The 26374-nt window shown below is 38.5% G+C and overlaps 1 protein-coding gene across 2 annotated transcripts in view, besides 3 other annotated features; it reads left to right on the forward strand.

Annotated features, from left to right (window-relative positions):
• Positions 8843 to 9072: a silencer, noted in NCBI's record as "silent region_1771". NCBI's record gives its function as "represses an Ori minimal core promoter by ATAC-STARR-seq in GM12878 lymphoblastoid cells {active_cell/tissue: GM12878}" and the evidence as "EXISTENCE:reporter gene assay evidence [ECO:0000049][PMID:35858748]".
• The window catches only part of CR2 (complement C3d receptor 2), a 35565-nt gene continuing 18194 nt past the window's right edge, over positions 9004 to 26374 (forward strand). For both annotated transcript variants that reach the window (NM_001006658.3, NM_001877.5), the window contains exons 1-9: positions 9004 to 9152; positions 21202 to 21588; positions 23203 to 23391; positions 23476 to 23575; positions 23826 to 23908; positions 24371 to 24778; positions 25416 to 25592; positions 25673 to 25763; positions 26099 to 26175. In NM_001006658.3, coding sequence (NP_001006659.1) covers positions 9095 to 9152; positions 21202 to 21588; positions 23203 to 23391; positions 23476 to 23575; positions 23826 to 23908; positions 24371 to 24778; positions 25416 to 25592; positions 25673 to 25763; positions 26099 to 26175 — 1570 coding nt within the window. In that variant the 5' untranslated portion in view covers positions 9004 to 9094. The remainder of the gene's footprint in view (positions 9153 to 21201; positions 21589 to 23202; positions 23392 to 23475; positions 23576 to 23825; positions 23909 to 24370; positions 24779 to 25415; positions 25593 to 25672; positions 25764 to 26098; positions 26176 to 26374) is intronic.
• Positions 9453 to 9562: a silencer, noted in NCBI's record as "silent region_1772". NCBI's record gives its function as "represses an Ori minimal core promoter by ATAC-STARR-seq in GM12878 lymphoblastoid cells {active_cell/tissue: GM12878}" and the evidence as "EXISTENCE:reporter gene assay evidence [ECO:0000049][PMID:35858748]".
• Positions 23953 to 25152: an enhancer, noted in NCBI's record as "BRD4-independent group 4 enhancer chr1:207642622-207643821 (GRCh37/hg19 assembly coordinates)". NCBI's record gives its function as "activates an origin of replication core promoter dependent on BRD2, P300/CBP, MED14 and CDK7 cofactors, and independent of BRD4, by STARR-seq in HCT116 cells {active_cell/tissue: HCT116}" and the evidence as "EXISTENCE:reporter gene assay evidence [ECO:0000049][PMID:35650434]".

The following is a 26374-nucleotide window of genomic DNA, read 5'->3' on the forward strand; positions in this document are numbered from 1 at the left end:
ATGGTCTCTACCATGCCCCTACACTTGCTATGTGTTCTTGGCAATACCCCAGGAGGTTCAGACAATAGCTCATCAACACTGAGAACCACAACTTGCAGATGTGGTAGCCCCATTTACACAATGGCAATTGCTTTGTGCTGGAGCAAGGATCTCATCCACAACCTATGGTCTAAGGGTAACTTGTGCATAAATAGAATTCTGCTGTAAGGCAGGAGGACTAGAGATGGTTTAGAATGGCTTGATATCAATCTCCTTTATAATTCAGCAGAAGCTAGGAAGTTCCAAAGCTGATCATGGAAACAGATACTATCTTAGGATAAATCATAGATTGGGAAACATTTTGCTAAGGACTTCTGGTTGGTGCATTCTGGTTGCTGTTGACAGCAAACATACCCTCTCTTCTTGATCTATCTGCAGTAATGGCCCCTTATACCTTTCTAATATTCATCATTACTTTTATTTTTGTCCCTCTGTTTATTCTTGATCATTCTCACTGGTCATTTGACAAATTAATTAGATTTTTTAAGAACCCAACTTGGCTCCTGTTTTTGATGTCACTGATTTTTTGTTTTAATTTTACTATCTCCTTTCTTCGGATTTTTTTTTCTGACCTCTTAAGACAATATATCTAATATCTCTTTCTAAAACCCGCATTAGCTGTATCCCATAAATTTTAATGTTTTTTTCTCCTATGGCTCAGTTTGAAAAACACACTAATATATGTTCGTTTCTATTATGATTTTTTTCTGCCCTATGTATAAGTTAGACATGTCTATCTTAATTTTCAAACATACAGTTTTTAAAAAGTATTTATTGATTATTAATTTCTAGCTCAATGGCGTAGAGATCAGAGAACATATTCCACATGATTTCAATCTTTGAAGTTTTTCGAGACTTGCCCTATGATCTAGCTTGCAATCAATTTTTGTACATTAGCTTTCTGTATCTGAAAAAGGATGTCTTCTGCATTTATCAGGCGCAGTGTTCTATAAGTTCCCTATGCCTTGCAAGTTAATCATGTATAAATTTTCAATTTATTTGCTAATTTTATCAACTTATTCTATCAATTATCAACAGATAAAATGTATCTGTGAATTTAAATTTGCATTGTAAATTTGTCTGTTTCTTCTTGTAGTTCTGTTGAATTTGTCTTAAATGTTTTGAAGATACACTATTATATGTAGAAAAACTTAAAATTATTATATCATCTAAGTGAACTGTTCTTAAATTTTCTTTTGTCAACAATTGATATAATTACATATATCTTTTACTACTGTTTACATAACATATCTTTTTCCATTACTGATTTTCAAGTTTTCTTTATCTTTAGGGTTTTTTAAATACAGTTTTATTAAACCATAATTCATATACCATGCAATTCATCCATTTAAAGTATGCAATTCAATGACTTTTAGTATATTTACAAATACATTTAGTCATTACTAGAGTCCATTTTAGAACATTTTCATCACCTGAAGAATACTCTTTTAGTGTCATCCTCTATCCACTCCCTATTATCCATCCTCCCTTTATACTCCCCTCCGCTGCTAAGCAATCACTGATCTATTTCCTGTCTCTATAGATTTTCCTGTTGCAGACTTTCACGTGAATGGAATCATATAATGTGTGGACTTTTGTTATTGGCTTCCTCCAGTTAGCATAATGTTTTCATGCCTCATCCAAGTTGTAACATATCAGTACATCATTCCATCTTATGGTTTTTTCCGTTATGTGGATGTACACACTTTGTTTATCCATCAATCCGTTGATTGACATTTGAGTCATCTCTACCTTTTGACTGTTATGAATAATGCTGCTATGAACATTCATGTACAAGTTTTTGTGTGAACATATGCTTTCATTTCTATTGGGTATTTACCTAGGAGAGGAATTGCTGGGTTTAATCATTTGAGAAACTACCAGATTGCTTTCCAAAGTACCTGCACCATTTGATATTCCTGCCAGCAGTGTACAAGGGTTCCAGTTTCACTACATCCTCATCAGCACTTTTTATTATCTGATTGTTTAATTTCAGCCATCCTGGTGAGCTTTGATTTCTGTTTCTAGTGGCCCGAAATTCTACAAGAATCAAAGCTCAAATTCTCCCACACCCCTAAAATGACCTAGTAGATTTCCACTTTCTCTTTTATGTTGCCCTAATAATTTCTCTTATACATTCTGATTATATATATTTATAGGGATATCTAGATAGATGATAGATAGATAGATATATAGATAGATAGGCAGGATGGATGGACAGATAGGATAGATAGATCGATCTAAACACACACACACACACACATACACACACACACACACACACACGTATTTCAGCACTTAGGGTTGTTTTCAGTGGAATAATTCATCCAGTTAACCTAGGACATAACATTACTGAAAATAGAATTCCATTCTTTTACCCATTTTAATTGGTATATCGTTCCTATGGGTATGTAGCAGTTCTTCACATGTTCTACATAACAGTCTCCTTTTTAGTTATATGTATTGCAGATGACTTATGTCTTATGTAAGTCATGTGGTTGTGCTCTTGTAATAATATATTTTAACAAATGAAGTTTTTAGTGTTAATATACTTGAATCCATCAAACTTTTCCTTTATCATTTGCATTTTCATGTCTATTATAAGAAATATTTCCTTACCCCAAGGTCATAAAAGTACTCTCATATATAGGTTCTTCTACATTTTTTAATGTCTTACCTTTCATGTTTAAGCCATCATCCATTGGGAATAGAATTAATATGTATGAGGTTTGGATTGATTTTATTATTCCATTATATGTAATGAATTGTCCCCAAATTATTTGTTGAATAGTCTCTCTCATCTTTCACCAGCAATCTTCAGCACTACCCATGCCATGAAGCTACTTTCTATATATGAGGTCTTTCTCTTTTTTCTTATTAATCTATTTTTCTACTCATTCATCAATACCACACTATCCTAAATATTAAGAATTTAGGTCTTGATACCTACTAGAACAAGTATCAGGAAGTGTCACTTTTACTGTTTGTGTCCCTTTGCTATGATGTATTTTAGAACGACATTGTCAGGTTCCTTTAAAAATGTTAAATTTTGACAAAAATTGCATTGACTATACATTTGATCAGTTTGTAGAGAGCTCATATATTTTTTAATCAAGTTGTCCTATACATGAATGTGCTTATTTCTTGATTTATTTAGGTCACATTCACTTTACCTGAATAAAATGTTATAATTTTCTCCATAAAGATTCTTCAACTATTCTGTTAGATTTATTCCTATTACGCACTTTTAGTAAGCATCCTCTTCTTAAGATTTAAAATGAGCTCAGTTTAAAACAAAATGCTTCTAATATTTTACCATAAGGAAAGATATTTGCTGCAGGTATTTTTTGCAAATATCTTTATAGGGCTAAGGGAACTCTTTTCTATTTCTCTGTAGTTTAAAGGGCTTTTAAAAATCGGTTAAATTTTATTAAATCTTTTTTTTTTTTTTTTTTTTTTTGAGATGCAGTCTTGCTCTGTCGCCCAGGCTGGAGTGCAGTGGTGCAATCTCGGCTCACTGCAAGCTCCGCCTCCCGGCTTCACGCCATTCTCCTGCCTCAGCCTCCCAAGTAGCTGGGACTACAGGAGCCCGCCACCATGCCCGGCTAATTTTTTGTATTTTTAGTAGAGATGGTATTTCACCGTGTTATCCTGGATGGTCTCGATCTCCTGACCTCATGATCCGCCCGCCTGGGCCTCCCAAAGTGCTGGGATTACAGCCGTGAGCCACTGCACCCGGCCAAATCTTTTATGAGTTTATGTTTGTGGTAGATTTTAATCTGTTGAAAACTATCTTTGTAATCCTAGCACTTTGAGGACATGGCAGGAGGATTGCTTGAGGCCAGGAGTTTGAGACCAGCCTGGGCAACAAGGGAAACCCTGTCTCTACAGAAATCTTTAAAAATAGCCATGCATGGTGGCATGTGCCTGTAGTCCCAGCTACTGTGGTGAGGCAAGAGGATCACTTGAGCCCAGGAGTTCGAGGCTGCAGTGAGCTATGATAGTGATACTGCACTCCAGCCTGGGCAACACAGCAAGATACTGTCTCTAACAAAACAATACAAAAAAACTGAAGGATGGTTCCTCTGAAGAAGAATGTGTTTCCTTCAGTTAGAAGCCAGAGGACCACAACAGCACTCGGCTTAATTCAAGTATCTTAAGTCAAATTGCCTACCTTGTGCAACTCCCTGCATATAAAGCTTAGTCAATTGTAGTAAAAATTAACACAGGACAACCTCCTTTGTGTACACCTACAAATCACTGCTCCAATTTTAGTTCCATTTACCTTTTTTTCAAAATTGTCCCCATTGGCACCAACATGTATGTACTCTGGATTTTGTTTATTATAAACAACTACAAAATCCTTTTGATGTATGTCTAATGTCTTAAGCATATTACAGGATGAAAACTCTGTGCAGAATCCCCATTTTCTCATGAGATTTGTGTATTTATTCATTCAAAAAATTTCTATGAAGTGTCTACCATGGATCAGGCAATATTCATGGAACTAGGGGGCTCGAACATAGAGAAACAGACAGACAAAAAAACAAAATATTTCCTTCATGGATCTTACATTGTAAGAGAGACAAACACAAATGAGGTCATTGTAAAATATATAATGTGTTCAATGGAGCTAAGTAGTAAGAGAAGAAAAATAGACCAAAGAAGGGGATATGAATGGAAAGGGAGGTAAAAGTGTAAGAGGATATCTAGGAAAGATCTCACTGAGAAGGTATCTTCGAGTAAAGACTAGAATGAAATGAGGGAGCTGGCCACTGGGGCTATTCAGGAGAAAAACAATCTGGACAGAGCAAACAAGACCCTCCGAGGGCAAAGGACCCCAGTCAGAGTGCAAAGAATACTAGAGCAGCAAAGGCCATTGTGGCCAGAGGGAGAAAAGAAGGAGAAAAGGGTCAAAGATGAACTCAGAGAAGTTAAAGGAAAGCAGATCACATTGGACTGAATGGATCATAGTTATGACATTGCCTTCTACTTTGAATGAGATAGGAAATTATTGGAGGGTTTGGAGCAGAAGGCAGTGATTTCTTTTTTCCTGACAAACATGTAAACAGGATCACTGCAAGATACTAGACACCAACACACTCATCTACAGAGGAGTTGAGTTTTTGTGTTGCTGAGAAGTGTTTATTAATAAAAATATATTTGGGAAATTTATGAGGGCAGACAAGAATAAGCATGAAAAGAATCATGAATCTAACTGTAAAATAAATGAAACAATACACGTGCAAGAAGAAAACATGGATGAATTATTGTGTAACCTGGAGAATGGTTTTTAAAACCATGGCTCCTAATCCAGATGCAATAAAAGAAAAGATTTATCAACTTGACTGCATTAAAACAGACAATGCTTACAAGGCAAAACGATGCCATAAACAAAGTCAAAAGACAACTGACAAACTGGGAGGAAACATTTGCAAAACACATCCAGAATAACAATCCTAATATATATAAATAAGTCTCAAACATTGAGAGAGGAAAAGGCAAATATACATGATAAAAATATATTTTATAAATGTTCAGCGTTACTCATAGGGAATGCAAATTAAAGCTACACTGAGATAAAATGTCTCATTTATTAGACTGACTAAAATTTAAAACCATGATGACAGCACATTAGATTAATGAGGTGCTCTCACACAGTTTTGTAGGAATATATGTGGTACAACTCTTATTAAGGAAATTTGGCAATATCTAACAAACCTACATATGTGTTTACCATTTGACCCAGCAATCCCACTTCTAGGAATTTGAACTGAAGACATGCTTCTAACAGCAGAAAAATAAATATTCACAAAGTTACTCTTTAGAGCATTAAAAACAACCAAACTGTCCATACATAGGGAGATGGTTGAATAAACTATGGCATATCCACACAGTGAAGTATTGCATGCAACTGTAAAAATGAATGAGGAATATTTGAATTTGTAGGAAATAGTGGATTCCAGCATATTTGTTAAGTTAAAAAAGAAATGTGCAAAAGAATACCTATAGCATGCTTTTAAAATGTAATAAAAAAGGAGAACTAAGAAGACAAATGTGTAGCAGCTCATTTGAGCAAAACTAAGGACAAACCAGAAACTACTGAAATTGAGTACCTATGGTGGAGAGGATAGAGGTGATGGAGAGAAGTGACATTTCCCTTTTATTGTGTCTTTTTATATCAATCTGACATTTGGGACTACGTTAATGTTTTATTTAAGCAAAAAAAAATCAAAAAGATTGAGGGGAAACTAAAATAGAATACAAAGAGAAACAAATTAACAGTATTTTGAATGAATAACAATCACACTGAAGAGGGGGAATAATCTGAGTAACTTTGGAACACAACAATGCTGTTTTTATATTTTCGGGCTATAAACAAAATAAAACTTTAAAAACGAGTAGATTTGATTTCCATCATAGTATAGAAATAGCAATTTTAAACTTCTTTCTGTGTATTCTAGGATTAAGCAAATAAGTAAATATATTGTGGATCTAGGTGTCTCACTGTTGAAGAAGGGAGTTACACATGCAGAAAGAGGGAAGGACAGAATGAACTCTATGCTAACGGACTGAAATTGGAAGAATCACTGTGAATTCATGACATATATAAATATAGATATGGGAATGGATATACATATATATATATAATACATATCCTTGCTCTGTCTGCTGAGAGGGTGCGGAAACAATGATACTCCAATAAAAATGAACACACTTAGCATCCAATTCTGGCATCTAAATGCCATTCTCTGCCAGAAAGAACCAGCATTCCTTGGAGAAACAGCAAATTCCAGTGTCAGGTCTAGAGGTGAGTCTGGAGCATTTTTTTTTGTGTGTGTGCCAGAAAGTAAGGAAGTGCTCAAAGAACAATAAGAACAAGTCAAAATGACATAGGAACTATTTTGAGGGCTCCCACTGGCCCGATCAGGGAGAATTTAAGCATCAAAATAAATAATGGTAGCCATGAATTATGACCCATTGAGTAAATAAATAAAATTCATATTGATATAGTTTATGCTGATATAGATAAATGAATAAATAAATAGAGAAGGGAAAACTTTTATTTACAGTAAAATGCCAACAGATGAATATAGAAGTAATTATTAAATTAGGAAAAAACACCCTTTGACAACCATCATAGTAAAAATTGATTCAAGAAAGGATCATCAATAGACGCTAAAATTTGTGGGTAAAAATTTGATGAAAAAATGAGGAATTTACATAGTTTTAAAGTATCTCCCTATAAAATACTTATTAATTACAAAGGGAAAAATACTGAGTCTACACTAAGAAACATGGCAGGCACCATCTTAACTAAGTGATCAAAGTTACCACCACCAGTAATAGGACAAATAGACAACATATGCCTCCCCGTAAGGATAAGACATCCTTTCTGGTATTCCTGTCAAATAATTAGATTCAATAACCTGAATCTATCATGAAGAAATGATAGACAAATCCAAATTGTGGGGTGTGATCCTGTCTCCTGACATTACCATCCACGTATACTGCCCTCCTACACTGAAAAGGGCTGATCTGTACAATCAATTGGATATTCTGGAGTTAACATATTGTGATTTCTGAGGACAGGTCACAAAGGACATTATGGCTTCTTCTTTCTTGTTCTCAGAGACGCTAGCTGGCATGTCACGAGGACACTCAACACACAAGCAGCGAGCCCTATGGCAAAATCCACGTGGTGAAGAATGAAGCTTCCAGCCAAAGGCTGGTAAGTGAGCCATCTTAGATGTGGATTCGCCTATCCCAGTTAACCCTTCAGATGACTGCACCTCCAGCTGGTGTCTTAACTGCAATCTCCTGAGCGATCCCAAGCCAGAACCACCTGACCGACCCACAGAAACTGTGAGATCATAAATGTTTATTCTTGCTTTACACCACTACCTTCAGGGTAATTTGTTATTATAATAGATAACGGACTTAAAAGTCATTCTCCAAAAATAATTGTGGTGTATTCGTCAAAAATGTAAAGGTCATGCAATACCAAAAATGCTGAGGACATTTTTCCAGAATAAAGAACTGGGGGTGGGGGGAAGGCATAATGATCAAACACAATACATGATCCTGAAATGATTCTGGACCAGGAAAAACAAAGGTTGGTTTCTATTGTTGTTATTGTTTTTACCATAACACAGGTTATTGAGATGATTGTCAAAATTTAAATACAGATGGTAGCTTATAGTCTTGTGTCAATGTTAAGTTCTTATTTTTGATCATTGCACTCTAGTTATGGAACAGAAAGTCCTTAGTGAACCATTTAGAATAGGAATAAATGCTAGATGGTTCCAAAGTAATAATTATATAATTATAATTATATAATCACATATATGTACATATATGTCTATAGAGAAAGAATAGAGAATGGTAAAGAAAATACAGCAAAATGTTAACATGCAGAGAATCTGGGTGACAAGTATATGGGAATTCTCTGCAGTACTCTTGAAACTTTTCTGTAGAGATTACTTCAAAATAAAGAACAGAGCAGAAGTGGCTGCTGTTCCTAAATTCCCTAAGTAAACTTACACTGCTTTTTCAAACTGGGAGATGAATCCACTAATAGGTTTTGAAATGAGTTTGGTGGATTTCTAATAAGAATAGGATAGCCTAGCCTAGTCTAGCATAACACAGCATGGCACAGAGGACGAACATTGTAGATTACTAAGGGTGAGTACTAACTTGTGAAAGTTTTGTTTAAGTTCTAGTAAGAGAAACAAGTGAGTGTAGTGGGTTGCGTGGTCAAAAAAGTGGGGAAGCCACCGCAACGAGGGGTGAGTCTGAGCCAAAGAGTGGCTCAGAGCTCCCCGCCCACCTCGTGCCGGGCCGTCCCTCCCGCTTGTCCCACCCTCACCGGCGCCGCGTCAGCCCCCAGGCCGCCTGCAGGTGTGCGCTCAGAACTAGCACGTGTGCCGGACACTATTTAAGGGCCCGCCTCTCCTGGCTCACAGCTGCTTGCTGCTCCAGCCTTGCCCTCCCAGAGCTGCCGGACGCTCGCGGGTCTCGGAACGCATCCCGCCGCGGGGGCTTCGGCCGTGGCATGGGCGCCGCGGGCCTGCTCGGGGTTTTCTTGGCTCTCGTCGCACCGGGGGTCCTCGGTGAGCTGGGAGGGGGAGCACGGAGGTGGGGACGCGTCCCGGGCAGGGAAAGTTTCTGTGCCGCGATGCAAAGCAGGGGGCCAAAAGCGAGACGGTGGGGGCAGTGCTCGACGCGTGTCCGCCTCCCGCTAGCTTTGAGGGACCACTGCAATAAACCGCCTGGTCCTGATTGTCCCCACTGGCCCCTCCGGGAGCTGGGACCTCCAGAATTGGAGGCTGCGCCACAGAGGGGCGCTGTCTGGTCGGCCCGGTGTGGCTGGCGGCGTGCGGGTGCTCGCGGTCTCCTGCCGGGCTCCCCGCCCCCAGGATTCTGCAGGTGCTCATCGCTCTCTGGCCGGCGGTCAGCGCTACCGCTCGCCACGGGAAACCTACCCACTGCATGAGGCACCAGCTAGCCACGTGAGGCTGTTTCTGTACACCCGAACCGCGCTCTTGCCCAGCAAAAGCGGCAGAACCTCGGCTCCCTTCCCTAAATAAGAGTAAGACCTGGTTCCCAAGCATGGGTCTCAGATTTTCTGAACTCTAATGTGATATTGGTAGAGATCCTAAACATTAACCATCCGTAGTTATTTTTGAGACATGGATTAAAACTATTGTTTTCTTCTTGTTATTAACCTACTGTAATGGTGTGGACGTCCGCAAAGGTCTCATTCACCGTTTATTATATCTTTTTTTCCTCCAGATTGGCTTGATTTTAAAGAAAGATTATAATTAAGATTAGCGTCTCTTGGCTACAGGATGGGTCTAAGTTTCTAATTATCTCCACGGTACCGTGCATTCCTAGTTTATAAGACGTTTACTGTGTGCAGACCTCAATAACTGGGTGACTTTTGGCAAGTCATTTAGCTCCCTGATCTTCAGTTTCTTCATCTGTAAAATGAAACTAGTGATTAACTGGCCTTCCACCTCACTGAGCTGCCCTGAGCACAGATGAAACTAAGCAAAGAAAGTTGGATGTTAGTCGTTACTACTAAATATCAGTAATAAGCCTCCTGTACAGACTTGATTTTATGGAGCCAGCATTTAAGCTAACAAGCTGGGTGTCCAATTGTTTCTATGGACATCCAGCTTATTGAGGTGTCTGGAATACAGCACATATTAGTTTATTACAACTTTTTGCTTTCCTGACATTTTACTGTCTCCTGACCCTTAAACCTTTCTCCAGACCATTATCTTCATCTCTTTTCTTTTTCTGCATATTAACTCCCTTTGAACAAATGTATATTCACACTTTTTCTAAGAGCAGAGTACGTCCCTGACTTCTCACCTATTTCTAAATTTCAAAGAGGATATTATCAACTGAAAATCAAATTCTTCACCAGTCCTGCCAATTCAGGGCCACAGCAGCAGCATCATGTAGGTCACTTAACTGGAGCCCCATGAAATACCAGGTCTACCTATCAGCCATTCAAGCTACTGTGCTTCTGTTGTTTGTCCATTTCTCATTTTTGTACCAGTATTCCCATCCTAAGCATTATAATTACCTGTGTAACAACCTCATCTCTTTTAAGAGATTTTGGTTCTTATGATTGGAAAGGTTAAAGAGTGACCTATAGGTCACTTTCCAATTATGAAAACAAAAAATTAAGAAATATATATATTTTCATTATTTCACTCCATTGTTCAAAAATCTAAAAGGCCTCCAGTGGAAGAAAATCTGGTGTCTTCAGCCTTTCTAGCCCTTTGGAATGGGATCTCACCGAAGCTCACACCCCCTGATTTCTCCAGCTGCCTGTCTTGTATGCGCTGCTCATGGTCTTCCCCACCTGTCTCCCATGGCTCATGCTTTGCCCACTCTCCACTGCTAACTTTTACTGCTACTGCATGCTCTCCACACATCATCTCTTGGCCAGTTCCTGCACTTGAGTGTGCTTAATAAAATACTAAAGTACCTTTATAAAATGTAGGTTCCTGGTTCCACCTCCCCCTCCAGAGGTTCATAGGTTTGGAGTTAGCACAGGAAAGCTGAGGTTTAACAATCACTCTAGAAGATTCTGCAACAAGTATCTATAGGGCACACTGCTATAAGCAAAGTCAATGGAAGCAAATTTCCTTTTTAGTGTTTTCCTATTTTTCCTTTTGTCTATTTGCATAAACAGTTTCAAATTTCCTACACTTCTAGATTTTACTCAAGCCTTCAGTGGCCACCTAACTTTATCCTATGCTGAGAAAACAAAACCATGAAACAAGAATGCTCCCATTTTCTAATCGGCTACAAACCTACCAACTTACAAACTTACCTCCATCTAGAATCAGATTTTGTTCTCCACTGCAGAAAACCTGCTGAGGCCTTCCCGTCACATTAGAATAAAACCCATACCCCTTATTCTCCAGTCTGAGGCCTTCTGCCTCTCCCTGAAATTCTCTGTACCCCACTCACTCTCTCTGCCCCAGCCACACTGGCCTTCTCTTTATTCTTTGAGCACAATTGCACTAGGTATTCTCTCTTTTGAAATGCTCTTCCTACAAATTATTCTTTGCCTGTCTCCTTGACATTCAAGGCTCAGCCCTCTGTTGTGCTTCTCTGACTCTTGTCTGAAGTATCCATATTCCAGGGTACTCTCCAATACAAAACTGTGTTCTATTTTCTACAGACCACCTATCACCATCTAAAACCTTCTTCCTTATTTATGTACCTGTTTGTTGTTTGTTCCCTCACTGGAATACAAGTTCCATGAGTGCAAGACCTTAATCTGCCTTATTTCCTGATTTGAGTTCCTATCAATAGCCTGTAATTTGGAATTCAATAAATATGAATTGAAATCTTGGTATGTTTCCTCCTATAACAATGAAAGAAGTATCCATTCTGCTGACAAATTCAGCTCCTTTTCCTGTATTCATGATCATGTTCCATACCCTCTTGCCTTTGCAAGGACTTTACTTCTGCAGATATCTCCTACCTTGCATCATCAATGTACCTCTTTCTGTATGATCATCCCCACCAGCATTTAAGTATACCCCAGGAAATCCTTTATGGACCTTCTCATGACCCACTGGAACTCCATTTTCCTGTCCCTCTTCTTGTTCTTCTCAGCAAAACTTTTCATTGACTACTTACTCAAATTTCGTTATCTCCTTCTCCACTTCAGACAGGCTTCTTCCCCACAGTCTCCTGAAGCTGTTTCTTGCAATGTCGCTACTGACCCTTATGCTGATAAATCCAATGGTCATTTTTCTATGTTAATCTTTCTCAGTCTTTCAGCAAAAACTGATGACTTCCTTTACCTTGAAACCATTATCATTCTCATCTTCCAAACCAAGACACTCTTACCTGTTTTTTCCATACTTCCCTGTTGTCTCTTAGTCTTTTTTGTTCTATCTCTAAATATTAGAGGGTCTTGGGGCTCAGCCCTGAGCCTCTTCTTTCTTCATTTCTTCTTCCTAAAAAACCTCAACTCATCTTGTCTCATGGCTTTGAATACTATTTATATGTTGATGACTCATATTTATTATCTATAGTTCTGTCCTCTCTCCTGAGCTGCAAACTGCCTACTTGGCATCTTGATGTGGATGCCTAGTGTGTTAGATATACCAAGTCTGAATGGAAATGATTCTGAACACAATTCCCTACCTCAAGGCCACAACACACACACACACACACACACACACACACACACACACACTCCTTTTTCAGGCTTTCCATCCTCAGAACAGGGTAATTCTATCAATTGTGTAGCCCAAGTCAGAAGTCTAGAAGTCAGGAATCCTCCCATTTCCTCAGCCCCACATGTAAAACAACAAAAAATCTTGCCAATTCTATTTCTAAAATATATCCACTGCTCAATCCTTTGCCAAGCTTCATTTTTTTTTTTTTGGCCCTAAACTGTACTCTTTGCTTCTAAAAGTAAGCAGTTCGATCCACTCTCTACCCAATTGCCAGAATATTCCTTTAAAAATGTAAGTCAGGCCTTGTGATTCTCCTGCTTGAACTCTCCAATGACTTCTATTCAGGATAATATTCACATATCTGTGGTCTAAAAAGCCCTTCATGATCCCTCCTGCTGAGTTTTCTGACTTGATCGTGGACCATTCTGCTTTGCTCATTGCATCCCAGCCACACTTGCCTTCTGTCTGTCCCTGGAGCATACCAAATCCATTCCTCCTGTTAGGCCTCTGCCTAAAATACTTGTACCCAGCAATTTGCCTGGCTGCTTCCTTCTTCCTTCTTGTCCTTCAGTCACAACTTAAATGTTGCCTTTTCACAGGCCTTCCTTAACCATCATAACTGAAGTTGCATGCCACCCTGTCCCTTCTCCTTCCAGTGCATTACATTGTGACATATCACTCTATTTCATATTTCATGTTCAGCACCTTCTTATTTATTTCCTGGTATCTATTTACAGTCTGTCTCTTTCTGTTGGATTATAAATTCTATGAGGGTGGGAACCTTGTCTCTGATGTTCACAGATACATCTCCTGTGCTTAGGACTGAACTTTGGTTAATATGCATAACTGTTGTTAAACTAAATAACAAACAGGGAAAGACCCTAAAAAAAAAAGATATTTGTTTGGGAATAGAACATTGCAATGGGAATATGTGTGTGATTATGAATTGTGTGTATATTCAAGGAAGTAAAAGAAGACAAAGGTTTTTAAAGGAAAAATATGAGGATTACATAATTGTTTTAGAATAATTATCCTTGGCTACAAAGACCAATAACAAGGATGATGCCAGTTTGAGGTTATACAGGCAGATGCCGGAAGGATGTTCTTGTAGGGTTGCAGTGGCTTTTGTGCACGGTTGTGGTTTTTCAGTCTTTTATGATAGTTTGGGTTAACAGGTATACAAGCATGAGAACCCTATTTTCATGGCCTTCCCTGGCTTTCTGAAGGTGTTTTTTGTTGTTTTTTTTTTTATTACATTAGTGACTCTATTTTGATTCTGACAACTTTCACATCATCATTCAAAACTTGCTTATCAAATAGGCAGGAAACCCAGTATTAAGGTATTTGATTATATGAATTATCAGTCTCAATAATGATTTTCCCTCCTACCTGCTTTCTGACTAAAATTTCAGTTTTATTTTTATTATCCTATATGTTTGTTTTTCATCCATTTCAAATGGATTTCCAAGCCATTCCAGGTAAAGTCCCTGGGCCCAAGTAATTAAATATATCTCTGTTCATTTAACTCAGAAACTGCTTCGCCTGTTAGTTTTAAACATGGTTGGAAGGATATGTGTCTGAATGTCAAGTCACCATCTTTGATCTTCAATCCAGTCATGATCTCCTCTGAGTTTTACTCCTGGCTACAGAAAGATGTGAAGAGGGTCCAGTGACCCTCAAGAAAATTTGTATTACTTGATGGCCCATGGCTTAACCTTCCCTTTTCTGATATGATCTGCCTTGTGACTTGGGATTCTGGCTTTCGTTACTAATGAGGATTGATGTTCCCAAAGGAAGATAGCCCTTAAGTCTCCTTATTGGAAATGAGACCCTCCCATTTTTTATCATCCAGAAAGTGTGATCCGTATCTCCTTTCATCATGGAAAGTTATGCTGTGAAGCACCCTTCTGCTTTTGCTATTTCTGGATCTTCATTCCATCTTCGTCCATGTCATTGCCACTGATTAAATCGTGTAAATTTAAATTGGTTTTCCAGCTTGTGGAGGATAATTTGATATTGTCCTTATTTACATTTGATAATTACAGATTAAGTCACTTGACTAGAGTCACTAGTACAAGTAGTATCAGGATCATGAAGTTTGTCTTCATTGAGGTCAAACCCTGATATTCCTTATAGAATCTTGCTATTTTGCACAGAGTAAGCACTTGGAGACTTTTGTAGTTGTTAATGGAGAAAACTAAAGAAACTGAGGAAATAAATAGAAGGGGACCTATAGTGATATCTGGCTCCCAATAATGATGCCTATTCTTAGAACCAGTCTTTGTGACTTCTCCAGTAGTAGTTTGGGGTCACAGCTAAGGTCTGGCTGTGTTTTGGGAGCTTTGTGTGTGACCTTGTGTCAGTTCATCCATGTTTATACTTTGACTTTCACCCGTACCTGTCTCAGACCTGTTTGAAAAAGGAGATTATAAATTTGATATTTAAATACACTGCTATTCTAGGAGGGCCTTACAACTGAGTACTTTCTTTTTTTGCCTGGACTACCATCTGATCTGGAAGAAGAGTTAACTTCTTGTTTTCTGCTTGTCAGTTTAGGGCGTTGAAACTTGAGCTCGTTCTCATACATAGAAAAATGACTTTTCCAGCTATATCCCTAAGTGTATCATTGCTATAGTTTCTTACCTATCTCCTAGAATAACTTCTGTTCCATTATTAATAATAATATTGTTACTTTAAGTCACAGGAATCTGTGTTGAAATGACTGTCCCTTTATCTAGTTCCCATCAGAAAGTATTTACTGAGTTCTCTTTGGTGGCATATTACTCTACTAGATTAACAGAATAAAATAATGAAGAATAATCAACATATTTTCTCCTCTCTAGGCATTAACGGTTTAATAGCTAAGATAGTTATGTAAATTCATTAAAGTAATTTTCAGGATCATATGTGTACTGAGCTTTTACAAGATCTCTTATATACTTTAGTTTCTTATGCTATCCTGGGAAAGTTTGTATTTAAAGATTTTTACCTTTTTGTCCCACAAATTCACAAATAGCGTACATTAGTTATGTGCAGTTTTTTTGTGTATAAATAAGACCTCATTGAAGCTGGGAAAAATATTAATATCCGCTCCCCCTACCACCCTTATAAAAAAAAATCAAAACATATGTAATCATCCTTCAAGGCCCTTGCCACATGCCTTTCCTGTTTTCCCCAGACTCTGACCTCACTGTGAAAAAACAAGCAAACAAACTAAAACCACTAATTTTTACTTGTAAGGGTGAAGGAGATGGAACAATTCTGAGGATTTTCTGAAATTTTATGAAAAATTACTTTCTCCATCTCTGAAGTCTACCCTAAAAATTCTCTGAACCTCTGAGCTTATTTCTGTGTATATTCACCCTTACTGCAATGATATGCATTCTTCATTCCATAAAATATTGCCCTATTTTAGACTTTCATTCTAAAGATCAAAGTTTTCAGGATAATTGGTAACAAGGCAGAAGCAGAGAAGAGGTTTTAGCCTCTCTTGGTTTTTATGTTTCTGTAGCCTTTGTCTCAGGTCCTCAGGTCAGGGTAAGTTTCTGCCAAGGTTTCCTTTTGCTAAGCCTAAAATTCAGAGTAACCAATCTTAAGTTTGCTGTTGAGATATCTTGCAAATACAAATGCTTTCTTGGGTATATCAAGAGGCATTCTTTGTCACCTCCCTAGAGATCTTCAAGTGGTCAGATGCTCAGCAGTTCTGTAAAGGTGAGTAATCCTGTAATAGAGGCATATTTGGGTCTGTCGCTGTATCTGGATGAGATAACATGTTATGTTTAAGATAAAAGACCAGTAAATTCACATGTCATCTCAAGTGAAGAGGGCTCCTGAGTGCTCCATGCTTCCTTTTACTCCTAGGGGCACTGGGTATGAGGGTTAAGTCATGATAGCTGGCCAAACCTATTCATCCTGTGATCTTTATGACTTTGATCTATGGTATCCATACTGTGTTAGGGTGAGGTTAGAAGTTAGAGACAAGAGATGTTAATATTACCTCATCCTCATCCCATTCAATTCAAAAAATACTTTTAAGTAACTACTAGATACTAAGCTCTAGACCAGACAGTGGGGCCTGGGAGTGACATAAAAATGAATCTGATAGTCTTTGCCTTTGAGAAACTCCTACACTAGTTGTAAAGGCCAACTCTTAAATATATATTGTACTATGAGGTAGTTCTCTTATTTAAGAAGTGCTATGAGGTCATAGAGAAATAAATCATAAATGCTACCTAGAAGAATTAGAGAACTATAGGCCCTCTGAGCAGAGGAAACAGCATTTGCAAAAGCATAAGTGTGCAAGAACATGATGTCTCTGGAAAAAATCAGTGTTGTTGGAGTATAGGCTACATAGTGAGGAATGGTAGTTGATTAAATGGATTGGAGCTTACTTGTAAAAAAATATATGCATTTTTTCCCTATAAACAGTGGTAAGTCATAGTAAGTTTTTAAATGTGCAGAGTGGCATGACCACATTTGTGTTTTAGAAAGATAAATGTGCAGTAGTATAGAAGGTGTACCAGCCCAAGGGAGAACAATTAGAAAAGTAAATTATGTCATTCAGTGATCCAATGAGAGACTACTGCAATGACAAAATAGTTGGTTTGGAGAGAGATTTCTGGAGTCCAGTCACTAAACTTCAGTAAGTAATTGAATGAAGAGAAGAGAGTAGAGGATGAGTTAGAGGATGAGTTACAAAAAGGAAATGATCACTGTGAGATTTTTAAGGCAGAAGACTTGGTAGATGATATCATAGATTAACAGAATATGTATAAAAATGGAAAATGAAGACTATAAGTTATAACTGACCACAAATAAAGTTGGCATCCATGCACAGAAATGCAGACTGTGTGCATTAAACAAGTAGTGTTCTAGAGTTGACTGATCCGTTGGAAAGTTTTGTAAATGTAAGAATTTCTGTGAGTAAACATAAGCAGGCCTGTCAGCAAGTCCAGTCAGGTTGAGATTTAATATAAAACACAAAAAGTCTCCAAAAAGTCTCCTGAATCCCAGCCTCAAATTCTGTTTGGGTTGATTTGGTTTTCTTTTGTAGATAAATCATGTGTGAGTCATAGAGAACTCCTTTAGGACTCTGTGATTACACACATGGGTATTGCATTTGGGTTGACAATGACATATTCTTGTAATAAAGGGTGAGTTGGCAGGAGACAGTTCCTGGGTACATGGATACCAGAACAGCAGTTCCAACCAGAAACCATCACTCTTCCAAAAGAGATCTGAGTAATTGCCACATACTTTTTAAAATAAATAAGCAAAAAGGAATCACCTCCCTGATCCACTCCAGAGACACTGCTTCAAGATTACCAGCTAGAGAGGATCCCTAGAAGAGAAGGAAGTTTTGGCTGCTCTCTTCCAGTTTTAAGTCTCCAGTGCTACTGACCAGGAGCTTGAATTTCATTTGGCTTTAAATTGTATGAGTCCTTAATCTGTCACCCCTGCTTGTCATAAATGATATTCTATTCTCTGCTATTCTTTCAGTAGAGAAAGAACTAAGTTTTTCTAAAATGTAAGTCTAGCTGGGAGATGATCACTCTTTATTTTTATTTTTATTTTAAGTTCTGGGGTACATGTGCAGGATGTGCAGTTTTGTTACAGGGTAAACGTGTGCCGCGAGATTTCTTATCTCTTTGTCTTTAGATATCTACTCTTTGGTGACTCATCTGCTACATGTATTATCTCAGACAATATTGTAACCTGGGATAATGACATGCCTTTTAATGAATGTAAGTAAAACAATCTCTTTATTGCACCCTATTTAATTCCTCTTGTCCCCTTCCAGAGGGAAATTGAGCATCTGCACACCAAAGTGAGTAGCCAGGAGGGTTTACACTTGGTTTGAGTAGCTCTAGGCACACAGCTATGACTTACCCATCTTCCTCATGGCCCCCAATCCTACCACACGTTCCTTTGTTTACTGTCCTTTGATTATAAGTTATTTCATAGTGAGTAAATGCTTACATCTAAAACATTCCAGGAGATTACACACTGCCAACTTTATTCCATGCAAAAAGTAAGCCACCCTAGGTCCCTTCTATAACAATTTATCTGTGGTCTGGGGCGGGGACTGGTGACCAGCTCATAGCTTTTCGGTTTTTATCAGCCAGTTCCATATATCTTTTGACCTTGCTACTTCCTATTTAGAATCATCTTTGAGATCAGGATACAGAATTTCAACAAAATAGGTAAATTGTAGGCTGAGTTGCAGTTTGGATTGCAAGAATGAAGAGAAAATTCTCAGAAAGTATAATATTCTCTCTTTCCCCACCTACTCCTTAAAAAGGTATTCCTTGTAAGTCACTCCCAGCCATCCCCCATGGGACTTTGACAGCAGCAGCAGGGAGAGGGGTTTGCTATGAAATCATCAGTGCCATATTGGATGTAATAGGGAAAAGCTGTTTGACCTCTTGGATGAGAAGTCAATGCATTGCACCAGCAAAGATAATCAAGTTGATGTCTGGAGCTCTGGAGCAACCCTCCTCTTCAGTGTATTACTCTTACTTGAATGCTCAATTATAGAAGTTGAAAATGGAGTTGTGGAATCTGGATTATGTTCATTTTTTTAAAATGATACATGATATTTAAGTGTAAGCTTGGTTTTACCCTGAAAGGCAGCAATGTAATATGGTGTCAACTAAACAGCAAACAGAATCCTCTACTGCCAAAGTGCTTCAGGGGTGAGTTGGGCTGAAACTTCAGGATCTAGAAATAAAACAAGGTTTTTCTGGGAAATAGATATATGGTACCTATGGAAAGAGCAGAAGGAAGATAGTATATGTGGTTGAGTTTTCTAGTTAAAGAGTTTTTTATTGTTATTGTTTGTTTTGTGTTTCTGTTTTTGTTTTTTTGAGATGGAGTCTCGCTCAGTCGCCCAGGCTGGAGTGCAATGGCGTGATCTTGGCTCACTGCAACCTCCACCTCCTGGGTTCAAGCGATTCTCCTGTCTCAGCCTCCCGAGTAGCTGGGATTACAGGCATCCAACATCATGCCTGGCTAATTTTTGTATTTTTGTAGAGATGGGGTTTCACCATGTTGACCAGGCTGGTCTTGAACTCCTGACCTCAGGTGATCCACCTGCCTCAGCCTCCCAAAGTGCTGGGATTACAGACGTGAACCACCACACCCTGCCTAGTTAAAGAGTTTAAAAGTAAACTTTGAAAGTAATATCTAAATGTTGCAGATGTAGGACTTTTTCTTCTTTTGTATTTTGGGGCAGTGCTAGATCTGTGTTATTGTAGGGGAAATTAAAAGATGCTTTTTTAAAAAAGCAGATAGCACCAAAGTCAATGATTAGAGATTTTTTCATACATATATATATATATAATTATCACATCTTATCCATAGGTGTGCTTTGAACATATATATGCCACTCTTCTCTGTCTTCTGGAATGCAGACCAAAGATGTTAAATTGATTCAGTTGAGTATATATTATACTGCAGATTCTATATGTATAAAGACAACAGTTCTCGAAAGTTACCCTTACTGAAACCAAGTATAGCACTGATGTGATGAAACAGTTTGGCTGTATCTTCTTATGTCAGTTTTCACTGAAGACCTCCTCTTGGAGCCAAAGGGAAGTTAACTGAAAGTTCTAGAGGTTGGCAATTTTCCCTTTATTCTGAGACTCCCTCAGAAAAGGCGTGCATAACAAAGTAAATGTAAACAATATCCTTCATGGTTATTAGGACAAGTAAATGAAGAATATGAGGCCATTATTCAAAACCTCTGTTCACTTCCTGTGGCTTTTTCAAAGTGTTCCAGCCTCAAGTCAGGACAAATCACCTGTACTGAGGCTCTAGCATCTTCAGCAGCAGGACCAAAAGTGGTCATCTCAGCCTGTACCCCCAGTTGTGTGTTTGAAGCAGCCATTGAATAATTAGTATGTTCCAGGTATTGTACTTTCTCTGTTCATGTACTTTTAGCACTGGATTCTCACTATACCTTATGAAGTAGTTTGCGTTATACTATAGACTAAGAAACTGAAGCTTAAAGAGAGTAAGACTTGCCTGAGGTCACACAGCTATTGAATGACCGTGGGGAGTTGAAACTAGGTCCACTGAGCTCAAATTTCCCTAATCCATGGTACCTCCCCACATGTAACTATCATGCCACTAATATGTTATTTTCATGTGCTGAATTTGCCTTTTGTTTCATTATTAAAATTGATTAGACTCAGAACTTTTGGATATATTCTTTTCATTATTATTGTTTGGTCAAGATGATTTATGTTGATCTGTTTGCTGAGGATCAAGAAAAAGGTAAGAATTTAGGAGTTTGGGAGTAAGCAGGGAATAAATAAACTATACATATTTCTAAGTCTGTTTCTGAAAAAGTTATGTGATCTATATTTGGATATTTTACCTACATTTGAATATTTTCTCACCATGATCAGTATGCCTACCAAGTTCCTTTTCTACTTTTCAGGGATTTCTTGTGGCTCTCCTCCGCCTATCCTAAATGGCCGGATTAGTTATTATTCTACCCCCATTGCTGTTGGTACCGTGATAAGGTACAGTTGTTCAGGTACCTTCCGCCTCATTGGAGAAAAAAGTCTATTATGCATAACTAAAGACAAAGTGGATGGAACCTGGGATAAACCTGCTCCTAAATGTGAATATTTCAATAAATATTCTTCTTGCCCTGAGCCCATAGTACCAGGAGGATACAAAATTAGAGGCTCTACACCCTACAGACATGGTGATTCTGTGACATTTGCCTGTAAAACCAACTTCTCCATGAACGGAAACAAGTCTGTTTGGTGTCAAGCAAATAATATGTGGGGGCCGACACGACTACCAACCTGTGTAAGTGGTGAGTATGAAAAGAAAGCTGGGTTGGGAGGTTGGGGTCTTGCCTTTCTGTGCAGACCACGTTTTGTACCCTCCTGAAGGACAAACAGTGTGAACATGTAATGATGAGGGTGGAAGAAGGAAACAAGGGAAAAGGTGAAAGTTATGGCTTCTTCGTGGAGGCATATAACTGCTCGTTCAAAAAACATCAATTGAGCAAAGGAGTTTAAAGTACATGGAAAAATGTAATTAAACACACCTAATAATTGAGTAGGGTAAGTTTTGCAAGGATGGGGTCAGAGTTTGTTGGGGATGTGGGAATGGGGTGGTTTTCAACTGTATATCTGTGTTACTGTTAAAATGAGAAGAACGGTGGGATCTTATAGCAAAAATACACCCAATGGATTTGAAATTAATGTATAAGTAGCTGCTAACACAGTCTAGCACAGGTGATATCCTGCTCTCTGTGGTCTCTGTAAACATGTTTTGAAGTTATCCACTATTTCCCCAAGTCATCTTCTGAGCCATCACATTTCAAATAAATGCCTTTGAAAATAGGGACCTACTGTAAATTATTCATTCCTTCTCTTTTGGTTTGGTTTATGTTGCTGCTGAAATATAAATCTGAATTTGAATTCCACAATTACAAGAAATGGCAATATTTGACAAAAATTATACTATCAAATTAGGTATTTTCTTAATAAAGAACAATATTGACAAATTTTAAGCAGATTAAAGAGCTGACAAAACTGTTAAATTAGTATAAAATGGGATTCTGTTTATTGATTGATTGATTGATAAATAGCCTTGGAGGAAGGAGATCTTAACGATAGTTACAAAGGGCAATGGCTGCTGAAAACAGTTAAGCCTTTGTAACAATTTAGACAGACATATATGTATGGACATGGAAGGATATCGTATACATGTCGCTAAGTAGAGGAAGTAAGGCATAGAATATGTATTAGTTGTACACACACACATAATATAGGTGTATATATGTATCATGCATAGGATCCCAATAAACTATATTGCCAATATCTACCAGGATAGCCCTTGAAATGATAGCATGCTACTTTTGGAACAGAGAATAAGCTTAAGGATAGGGTGAGAATATAGGTGAAAATTGACTTTTTTTGGTAATTGAAATTTTTCACAAGGCAAATGTAATTCATATAGTGTAACTAAAAATGAAAAATAAGGTACTATTTATGGCTATTTGTGGCATAAAATGGATACACTTAAACCACACCTGTTTGATCTTTAAAAGACTAGGTTGAAAGTTAATACCAACTGGCTACCATAGATCATGTGTCATTTATTTAAATCCATATCCTAAGTCAGCATCTCGATCAAGCTTGTCCAACTCGCTACCCGTGGACAGCATGTGGCCCAGGATGGCTTTGAATGTGGCCCAACAGAAATTCATAAACTTTCTTAAACCATTATGAGATTTTTTTTTTGCAATTTTTTTAGCTTATCAGCTATCATTAGTGTTAGCGTATATTATGTGTGGCCCAAGACAATTTTTCTTCTTCCAATGTTGCCCAGGGAAGCCAAAAGATTGGACCCCCTTGATTCTAGATTGTGAAGGATGCATCATCTGACGGCTTTTTTTTCCTGGTATGTGTGTGTAAAGTTTTCCCTCTCGAGTGTCCAGCACTTCCTATGATCCACAATGGACATCACACAAGTGAGAATGTTGGCTCCATTGCTCCAGGATTGTCTGTGACTTACAGCTGTGAATCTGGTTACTTGCTTGTTGGAGAAAAGATCATTAACTGTTTGTCTTCGGGAAAATGGAGTGCTGTCCCCCCCACATGTGAAGGTACCCTAAATTTACAATCTATTTTAAGAATCTGGGCTGTTCTGTTATTTGCCATGCATTTCTCATCTTTGGTTTGTTTTTTAGAGGCACGCTGTAAATCTCTAGGACGATTTCCCAATGGGAAGGTAAAGGAGCCTCCAATTCTCCGGGTTGGTGTAACTGCAAACTTTTTCTGTGATGAAGGGTGAGTGTCAGGATTATTTATGAGATTTAATTCATTTGTCTTGTGTGTGCGTGGTGTGGACTGTGAAACCTGCAGAAGTCTCCTCTGTGAGGATCTCTGGGCAGTCTGGGGTAGGGTTGTGAGAGGTAATGCTGATAAAAGGAACAGATGCACACTGATTGAAATGAACTTGTCTTGAATTGTAAGTAGAGGCTGCTGTTCTTCAGCACAAACTGCCTAATAGTTCTGAATGACAACCTTCTGTCTCCAGGTATCGACTGCAAGGCCCACCTTCTAGTCGGTGTGTAATTGCTGGACAGGGAGTTGCTTGGACCAAAATGCCAGTATGTGAAGGTAGGCTAGGCAACTATGGTCTGACAGCACTGCATTCTCAGCTTAACTAAAAGCTTTTGGTTCAGTCATTACCTTACAGACTCTTACTGAACACAGAACTCCTAGAGATCTTTAAGGATATGTGCTTCACCAAAGCATCCTTATTTTTTGTTTCCTCAAGTAAAATGGGGTTCCTAGGCTTTCCCTCCTCTGAAAGCTATGCAGACCTTCTAAGTAGGTAGACCATATGCATAAAGAAAATAGTGTATTTGGTAAAAGAAATCAAAGGATCAGCAGAGTACATATACTCAGGAATGAAGCTTGAGAATCAATCTTCTAAATTATGTTGCTTTAGCTGCCTTGACTGATTCATTATAGACTCGGATATCACTGTCCTAGGATAGTGGTATCAAGCAGCATCTGGGGCATTCTTTGTTTTCAATACACCTATGATCTTGTCATTTCTTTCTGCAATTCCCCTAGAAATTTTTTGCCCATCACCTCCCCCTATTCTCAATGGAAGACATATAGGCAACTCACTAGCAAATGTCTCATATGGAAGCATAGTCACTTACACTTGTGACCCGGACCCAGAGGAAGGAGTGAACTTCATCCTTATTGGAGAGAGCACTCTCCGTTGTACAGTTGATAGTCAGAAGACTGGGACCTGGAGTGGCCCTGCCCCACGCTGTGAACTTTCTACTTCTGCGGTTCAGTGTCCACATCCCCAGATCCTAAGAGGCCGAATGGTATCTGGGCAGAAAGATCGATATACCTATAACGACACTGTGATATTTGCTTGCATGTTTGGCTTCACCTTGAAGGGCAGCAAGCAAATCCGATGCAATGCCCAAGGCACATGGGAGCCATCTGCACCAGTCTGTGAAAAGGGTGAGTGTTCCGGTACTCAGAAAAGGTGCTTCTGATTCGTTTCTGAAAAATTAGAAGAAGGGGTTGTGGGCTTTAGGTAGGGCCTTGTCCAGTTTATACTTCCCTCAAATCTACTACATCTAATCAATATAAATTTTGTAGAGGGCATTCTTATCACTAGCCCCCCACCATTGTTTTATTTTGTGGGAATATGCTTGGAAAAAATGTTAGGAATCACTAAGTTTCTCATTTCTATAGGGGAAAAAATGAGGAGAAAAATGCTTGTTTGTCTTAATAGTGACTTCTTAAAAGAGAAGTCATTCAAGCCCTCATTCCTAGGGATATATCAGAATCTCCCATAAAAAACATACAAGATGATTCCTTATGAAGGGAAGAGGCAGGAGAGGAGTTGCAGAACCCAGTGGAAAGTGAACAACATCTGCAGCAGCCTCTGTGCAGAAAACAACAACAACAACAACAACAAAAGATTGGGAAACTGTGATCTAAAATTACCCAAAGCTGGTCTGCAACATATGTTCTGTATCATACAGCTGACGCCAGAGTGGAATTATAGCATGAATATCAATTTCTTTGGCTCAGTTTCTTTCTGTGGTTGTTTACTTAAGCAGTTATGTTTTGTTTTTGTCCTTTCATTTAGAATGCCAGGCCCCTCCTAACATCCTCAATGGGCAAAAGGAAGATAGACACATGGTCCGCTTTGACCCTGGAACATCTATAAAATATAGCTGTAACCCTGGCTATGTGCTGGTGGGAGAAGAATCCATACAGTGTACCTCTGAGGGGGTGTGGACACCCCCTGTACCCCAATGCAAAGGTGCCAGGCCTCAAATGTAGACATTTTGTTAACTTTAAGATTGCCTTGAATTAAATTCTCATCCTAGTCTCTTTTCTTAGTGGCAGCGTGTGAAGCTACAGGAAGGCAACTCTTGACAAAACCCCAGCACCAATTTGTTAGACCAGATGTCAACTCTTCTTGTGGTGAAGGGTGAGTGAAGGCTGACTTAGTCTGACCCAATTCCGGTGTATCAGCACACACTGCAGGCTCTATGTAAGAGTTTGTATCAGTACACCCTGCAAGCTCTATGTAAGAGTTTGTCTCATAGGTGCTTGCCTGTCACATGGTCATGGAAGTGTCTATCATACTATTTTTCCATGCATGGAAATTATGCCTGTGCAATGAGAAGTTGGTGCTGATGTTGGCTACATTTTTGTTGCTATTGCTTCTTGGCCTGAAAGTAGTGAGTCTGCTTGGGAGCCATGGCTCTTGCCTAACTTAATGGTCACCTGATGGCAAAATGACATACGTGACTCTGTCTCTAGGTACAAGTTAAGTGGGAGTGTTTATCAGGAGTGTCAAGGCACAATTCCTTGGTTTATGGAGATTCGTCTTTGTAAAGGTGAGTAGCAAAAATGATATAGGAGCTGAAATAATGTGAGATCTATACATTTCCTGGGAGATTTTTGTTTTGGGACATGTTATGAGAATTAGAGTATTAGATTCTGTTCTATTGATTCTGCCAATAGTTATGGTTGCACAGTTTTACCATGTCTTTCTTTTGCTACCTTTTTCTTCATCAATAACTTAAATCTACTTTG

This window comes from Homo sapiens, chromosome 1, assembly GCF_000001405.40.
Source record: "Homo sapiens chromosome 1, GRCh38.p14 Primary Assembly".
Lineage (NCBI taxonomy): Eukaryota > Metazoa > Chordata > Mammalia > Primates > Hominidae > Homo > Homo sapiens.